We start from the raw sequence: 8479 nt of genomic DNA on the forward strand, positions 1-8479 counted from the left end.
GTCTCGCTCTTGTTGCCTAGGCTGGAGTACAATGGCATTTTCTTGGCTCACCACAACCTCTGCCTCCCGGGTTGAAGCAGTTCTCCTGCCTCAGCCTCCTGAGTAGAGTAGCTGGGATTACAGACATGCGCCACCACACCTGGCTAATTTTGTGTTTTTGGTAGAGACGGGGTTTCTCCGTGTTGATCAGGCTGGTCTTGAACTCCCGATTACAGGCATGAGCCACCACGCCCAGCCTATTGACTCTTTATTATGCTGCTTTGTTTTCTATTGCATAGATGTATTGCCTTATGTCTTTTTTCCCCTTCCTCCTGTTGTCTTTGATTATGTTTTTCTTCTCTTTAACTTAGAAATATAGCCCATGAATATTTGGCTTGTCTAATACATCATTTATGGCTTTATATTTCCCTCAATGCCACTTTGACTGTATCCCACACATTTTGTTGTATAATGTTTATGTTATCATTACTCTCTAATCCTTCAACATTTTTCATTTGAATTTCTTCTTTGACCTATGAGGATGTAGAGTCCAGTTTTCAACTGCCAAATTACATTTTCTACATGTGCATGAGTTTCTACTTGTCCCTCACATCAGACAGATAGTAGCTTAATGGTTAAAAGTCTTGAGCTTTGAGATGTAATAGACTTGGATTCAAATCATAGCTCATTCACTCACTCCTGTATTCATTAAATAGGCATTATTCTTGGTGCTGAGGATGTATCACTAAACAGAAATCCATGCTCACATAGATCTTATATTCTGGTATGCATCCCACCATTTAGTAGACTCCACTACTTATTAGTTGTATCAGTTGGAAAAAGTCTCTCAGTTTCTCCCTGTAGATCAATTTTTTTTATCTGTCAATGAGAATAATAATTATTCTATTCTAGGGAGCTCTTCGGAGAATGTAGTGAGATAAAGTGCTTAGTACAGTGGTTAGAACAGTGAACATTTTAGTAAATGCTTGCTATTACCATATGGACAGCTTTCTCAGAAAGCCTTTCCTAACCCAGCCCCACCCCTCCCCTTCCTGGCACCCAGACAGAGCTAGATGCTTCTTTTGTGTTCCTCCAGAGCATATTGTACTGGCCTCTAGCAGAATACTCAGGCAAAATATTGTAATCATGAATTGTCCACATGTCCCACCAGACTGCCAGTTCTTTAAAGACAAAGAATATATCGTATGTAATTTTTTTTTACCTCAGCATCTACCACAGTGCCTGGCAAGTGTTAAATGCTAAATAAATATATTTGAAATGACTAAAGGAAGGATTGATACAGATTTAGGAAAAGGAAAGTAAGTGTATGTTGCTGAGATATTTATTGATTCGTTCAGTCAAAAAATGTTTATTAGGCACTGATTACCTGTCAGCCACTTTTCAAGGTACTGTATAGGTTCAAACAAAACAGGCAAAATTTTGTTATGATACTTAAATCTTAGAAAGGAGAAATATACATCAGATATGGTTGAGTGATTGCAGAACAATAAAACAGATTAAAGAAGTAAACAGTATTGTGGGAAGGCTGCTATTTGATATGTGATGGCCAAAGAAAGTCTCTCTGATAAGGTGTCATCTTAGTAGAGACCTGCAAGAAGTGAGAGGGCAAATCAGAGGGACACGTGGATGAAATATTCCAAGTTGAAGAAACAGCAAGTGCTGAAGTTCTTTAATCATATTCAAGGACAGCAAGGAGGCCAGTATGGCTGCAGCAGAAGCACTGAGAGGGAGAGCGGTAAGAGGTGAAGTCAGAGTGGTGGGCAGAGAGAGTGAGGATGCAGAGTGCAAGCCCTTGCAGACCATGGCTTTGCCTCTAAATGAGAAGAGATTCCGTTGAAGGGCTCTGAATGGGGACGTTCCTGTAATACACTCTGAGTTACATTTTACAAGAATCCCTCTGGCTGCTACATGGAGGTCCGACTAGGGTTACAGGGGTAGTGGCAGAGACCACTTAGGACAGTATTGCAACATTCCAGGCTACAGTAGTGGTTTGGATCAGAGAGATAGCAGGTGGAAATTATGATTCTGGGTATTTTTCAAACAGAGAGCTGATAGATTTTGTTCAATTGTGTGTGGGTTGTTAAAGAAAGAGAAGAATCAAGGATAACCCCAAAGTTTTTGGCTGAACTACTAAACAAATTGAATTAGCATTTGGTTAGAGGTAGAAGACTGGTGAAATAGCAAGTTTGTGTATGTATTGGGAGGGGGGTGGTTAGCAGTGGGTGTATCAGGAGGCCCATTTTAGAGCTGTTAAATGTGAATGTCTCTTACACCTCCAGGTGGAAATGTTGAACAAGTATATGGATATATAGTTCAGAACATCAGTGCTGAGATCAGAATCTCTTATGCTATCAACCTGTACATAACTTTCTTATTTACCACCATCTTTTTAAAGTATAAATCCCTATGGACCAGGTGATTCTTGAGAATCTTCTCTGAAGAGGAGTTATATTTTTCAGATAGATTTTTAGCTGGCATTTTTTTAAGTAGGGCAATAATCGTATTACTATAATAACTGACATCATAATTGAATAATGAGCTTAGGCATATGCTTTGCAAAAACCTACATAACTTAATTAAAATTGAATTCAAATGAGTACCTTTTCGAAAGAACTACTGAATTCACAAATGTACATAAAAAGTTCTTAATTAAGCTTAATCTAAGTATTAATATAAAAAGAAAAACACTATTATGAATAAAACCCTGGATACCAGAGTGGACAATTGGGTCTGACATATTCCTGGAGAAATATTTAAAGTAAGCTAAAACAAGAAAATCTTGCCTTTAGAATTTTTTAGTTAAACTTTTAAAAAAGATTCAAATAAAACGTTAAGAAACTTTCTAAATGGTTCTGAAAGTAATGGTCCAGCCAGGGAAATAAAGTTTCTAGCCTGTGTCTTGGGGCTTTCAGAATAGACTAGGTAACCTTAGAATTAAATGTGGATTTATATTTTTCTGAACAGTACCCCCTTTTATTGACTACATGTGCTTCCCCAAGAATTTGTTGTAGAGTAGATGTTTCAAATAAAGGGTCCAATTCTTAACCCATTCACATTGTTTCATTTTGCAGATAACCACTTGCCTAGCATAAAAATCTTTACGTTGTTCTCAGAAATTGATTCTTGACTCTACACAGCAAATCCTTCATCTTTATTGTTGTGACCCATTGTAAATACCTTCCACTATGATGGGCTTATATTCTCCTATTCTCCTCTAGCACTTACTCTCTTTTTTCCCCCAGGATTCCAGGTCTTGGCAACCTTTGAAATTCCAATTCCATTTGCGAGAGCTTTGAGGAGGCCATATGCTGATTTTACCACCAGCAACTTCACAACCCAGTACTGGAATGCCATCAGCCAGCAGGCCCCTGCCATCATCTGTGACTTCTATCTGTGGCTCACTGGAAGGAAACCCAGGTGAGAAGCTGAGTCAATGGCTTTGAGAATGTCACTGCATATGGGAGATTGAGGCCCCAAAGTCTTTAGGGCTTCCTTCAGCCAAGGATTAAAGGAGACAACTGAATCTGACCCATATATACAGATTGAACACACCTACTCTGAAAATGCAAAATCTGAAATTCTCCAAAATCCAAAATGTTTTGAGTACTGACATGATGCCACAAATGGAAAATTCCACACATCTTACCTCATGTGATGGGTCACAGTCAAAACACATTCAAAACTTTGTTTCATGCATAAAATTATTTAAAATATTGTATAAGATTACCTTCAGGTTATGTGTATGTGGCTAAGTGTGTATGAAACATAAGTGAATTTTGTGTTTAGACATGGCTCCCATTCCCAAGATTCCTCATTACATAGAAGCAAATATTCCAAAATCTGAAAACAGTTGAAACCCAACACACTTCTGACCCAAGCATTTCAGATAAAGGATACTCAACCTGTATAAGTTTTGAACAAACAAAGCAGTCATAGTGAGAAGCCACAGAAGCCTCCTACATTAAAAATGCTCCAGCATAATAAAGGAAGGTAAATGTTAAAGCGCCTGCTTGGTGAATTCAGCAAGTGATCATTCACGCAAAAAGAAAAGCAACTGAGACTCTGTCGCTAGGGTTTTTCAAATAGGTAGAGAATCTTAAATATCCAGTAATGATGACAACCTCACTTACTGGGAGCTTACTCGTGGGGCTAAGGAGGATGCATGATGATCCCGTTTTTATTGTCGCAGCTACCGAAGGAAGATACCCTCATCAACCCAATTTTACAAATGGAGAAATAGAAGCTAAGGGAAGAATCTGAAGTAGTCTCAAAGGCAGTGACAGGAAGGATGTGGAGAAAGCTGAGTGTCAAAGTCAGTATTCATGACTAGATTTACTGCTACTTAGAGATGAATGAAGAAATCAGAGGGAACGCAGTGTGCTGATGCTAAAGCAGCTGTCACCACTCAGCTGTGTGACATAGGACATCTTCTTCCTCTGTCTCACTTGAATAATATGATGTGTCAGAGGAGACATGATTGTAATTGCCTAAAGCAATTTTTGTGATCAAGAATCAGAAACATGAACAGTATTGCTGTCTGTGTTAGCCCCTTTATAAGGGAGGAAGTCATCTTCAGCATGTTGAATTGTCATCTTTCTTAGCAGTGCAAATGACTAAAACTTAGCCAATGTAGAGTTTATCCAAATTTGGAGCAAAGTGAAAAGAAACCATTGTGATTATGGGGAAAATATTTGTATGGGACTATTAAATAAAGACACGAAAAGAAGAAAACCCAAATATTATAGGCAGAAATGCTAAAGGTTATAAAATATATCAGGATTGGAAGAAGGCATGGATAAAGAACAAAGTTCAGTTAGGAAAGAGAAACACAGAAGGAAGAGACACAATAAAAGTCATGTATTCTGTGAGAAGTCAGACAGATTTGTGGGGAATGGATTGGTTTGTTGTATGGTATGTATTTTAGCAATAATCTTTATGGCAGAGAAAGCTAAAATCCCTTAGCTTGCATGAATGATCACTTGCTAAATTCCTCAAGGTAGGCATGATGAAGGAGGGTTTAGAGGAGACACAGACACAATGAACTGACCTAGATAGAAAGCCTTAGTATACTCAGCTAGGAATAGTGATTCTGAGGACACACTGTGACATGATTATGTCATTACATGTATGGTAGTGATGGGGATGATAGAAGGAAGAACTTATGGCATATTTTCACCCCCACAAAAATCAGTTAAATATTGGGACACTAACCATCCAGGTCAAGAAAAGTCACATGCCATAGCCATGGTATTGCACATCATTCATCTTGCATTCTTTGAGAATAAGAAGATCAGTAAATAGTTCAGAAGTGGGAAGCTTTGTCCAGGCCTGTGTGTGAACCCAATGTTTTGTTTAGAAATAGAACAAGTAAGTTCATTGCTATAGCATAACACAAAATTTGCATAAGTGGTGGTCAGCAAATCCTTGAATGCTGCTTAATGTGACGAGGTTGGTAAAATCCTTTGTGCAACACTCTTACTCCCTGAATGTTTTGCTGTGCTGGAACTTGTGCGTGCCAGACAAGGCCAAGCTGGGTGAAAGAGCAATCAGCCACCTCTGCAACCTGCCACCTCCTGCTGGCAGGATTTGTTTTTGCATCCTGTGAAGAGCCAAGGAGGCACCAGGGCATAAGTCTACTCACTTATATCTGTTTGTCTGAAACATAACCCATGTTTGTTTTTACAACAAATAAAATTGATCTTGAATAAAAACTGAGTGGTCACTGTCATTAATCTTTGAACCCAGATTAACCTTTTGGTCATACCTAGTCTAAGAGAAAAGAGATACTCTTATCAATAAATACAGAGCCCAGCTATGTCAGTGAAGATCTCAAGTGCATAGACAATAGTATAGGGAAGAGTCAGAGGCCAAAAAGACAGGGATGGCAGACATTGAACAGAGGAGAGTGTGGTGTTTGCCTTTGCATCAACTGAGATTATGGAAGAACACCTGAGGCTTGGGGAGAGCACCTACAAGATACCAATAAAGCATTCTAAGAACATCTATGAAGTGAGAAGATTTGAATTACTGTTGTTCTTGTGATTACGATTGTATTTATGGTTGTTACTTCATTCGTATTAATCACCTATGTGCCCAAGTGTAATCATGAAGTTAGATTTTTCCCAGATTTTTTTATTAGACTCAAGAATTCCCATAGACAAGGGCAATATCACTATCCTATTTATACATTTCTTCTCTCAGTTCTGTAGAGCCAAAATATAGAGTCCAATCTTTTAGATAGGTCATGCAATAAAGGCTGACTTGGATTATCTAACTGGTACATGAGGCCCCGTGTGGTAGTTTACTCCAGAGGAAATTGGCACCTGTATATAATTGTAGTTAAGTTGATCCCTTGATATCAGAAAAGTTTCTGCTATGCAGTCCTTTTTGATGATTTAATAATATACATCCTCATTTTAGACAGTACCAGTGGCCATAGATGCACTTGGCAGCAGAGTATTACAGATGGTAAAGCTTGAATCTGCGTTTTAGTAGCAAGAGCATTTGGAGTCTTGTGCTTCCCTTGTAGACATCTTCTTCACATCTACAGCCTATCTTTCGTCTACTGTTGTTACTGCTACTAGTTCCATAGACATTCTAATTTTCACTTGGGATATACATTTTTGTTATTTGTAAGCTCCCTCTTCTTTTTCATTTTTTCACTCCATTTCAGACTGTTCTAAAATCAGAAAGGAAATTCTCCTCCATGAGCATGTATATGTTTTTGGCTCTTGGAACTTGAGATGGTGCAAGTAAGTACAAGCACATTTTCCAGATAAGTCATGTGAAGTGATTTACATTTCATAATATGATCATTTCTGATTGATCTTATCTATTAAGACCACCCATAGAGATGGCTGTAATGAATTAAGAACATCAAACAATGTCAAGTTGTTCATTGCATGTATTTCAGAACATTGCCAAGATAAAGCCAGGTGGAGTCATTAATTTCACCAGCTGGTTATTTCCTTGCTGCAGTACCAAAGATTGTCATTTTTGAATTAAAGCCTCTGGTTTTTCTAACTCATCTTTCATTGTTGATCATGGCAAGTGAATAATTAATGAATGTATATGTTTAGGTTGTGAGAAATTTAAAACACACCCTAAGAGTTGTAATGTTGATTGCTTTTAAATGTTGTAGTGGTTTTGAGAGTGTCTGCTAATGATTCCTTAATTACATACTTGCTTTTCTTAGAAAATCAACTCATTTCATTGGGATTAATTTTCTCTTAAATATTTAAGTTCATATTTTAATAAATCACTATGCCTGGGATTCCATTATATATTTGAAAAGATCAAGTTTAATTTTTTTACCCAGGTAACATACACAATGGCTCAAGATTTGTGTTCTTTGATCTCACGATTTAAAAAAATATGCATTAAGCACCATGGAAATCCCAGCAACTTCAGCAAGAAAGAGTCTTTGTTCCATAGTTTCTTATGCTTGATAAATATGTGGACTAAAATAAATGGAATATCTTAATTCAGTTTTTGCTTCATGAGACTGGTTGAGTGAACATAGGCCTAGTGCTTTGACAATTGGCCTATTGTAGAAGATTGATATTCTAGTAGCCTAAATAGAATCCATTTCTTATAAGAACATATATATTTTGGAAAATGTGGTATTTCTCAGAAAACTGCTGAAATGAATTATGTATCTTTTCTGTCTTCTATTATTTTCAAAGATCTAAAGCTTTCACTTGAAAATTAGTCTTTTGGAAAAAAAGACATTGAAACTAGTGTTAAATTATATTTCATTGAGGTAATGAATATGAAGATTCATTTGCTGTAATCTCCTTGGGATCTTCTAAAGTAGTTTCTTGTGCTTTTAAAAATAACACTATAATGGTCTATATGTGTATCAGTTTTTACAGTAATTTGTTTAAACTTTAGCTTATACCAGTGTGCATGAAGAACCAAGTGCAGTCTGAATTAGCACAATGCAAATAGAAAACCGACCTTTTATTTTCCTCACAAAATATCTAATATAAACCTTATGTAAAATAAAGAATTTTTAAGTGCTTGTAAATTAATAACAAAATCATACATAATGTCAGTGGAAGAGAAAAGTTAAGGGTTTTATATCGCAGTAAAATGCATTTCTAAATTGATGTAGTATTGTTATAAAACATATTCTTGAATATTGTATCAGAATTTATCATCACTATTGAAGTCAAAATAAAGATGGATCTCTAAAGTATACAATTTATTTGGGAATCACAGAATTGTAGTTCTGAACAAAACTGAAAACCACAGTGGTCTTCTATATGTGTGAAGGACAAAGAGAAGATTGGGGGTTTACTAGCGAGGGAAATGCTACATATTGTTTTGAAAGAAAGCTCACGGACACTAGAGAAGATTTTGGGAGCTGGTCAAACAAGCCTAATGGGAGACAAATCTTTTGAGACTTCCCAGGAGCCCAACTAGAAAATCCCTTAGTCAATTTTAGGTGAAAAAGGCTTAAATTTGAATTTGATTC

At 36.9% G+C, this 8479-nt stretch overlaps 1 pseudogene; it reads left to right on the top strand.

The window, feature by feature from the left end:
• Positions 1–3464, top strand: part of FAR2P4 (fatty acyl-CoA reductase 2 pseudogene 4) — a 12293-nt pseudogene extending 8829 nt beyond the window's left edge.

This window comes from Homo sapiens, chromosome 2 (assembly GCF_000001405.40).
Source record: "Homo sapiens chromosome 2, GRCh38.p14 Primary Assembly".
Taxonomy (NCBI): domain Eukaryota; kingdom Metazoa; phylum Chordata; class Mammalia; order Primates; family Hominidae; genus Homo; species Homo sapiens.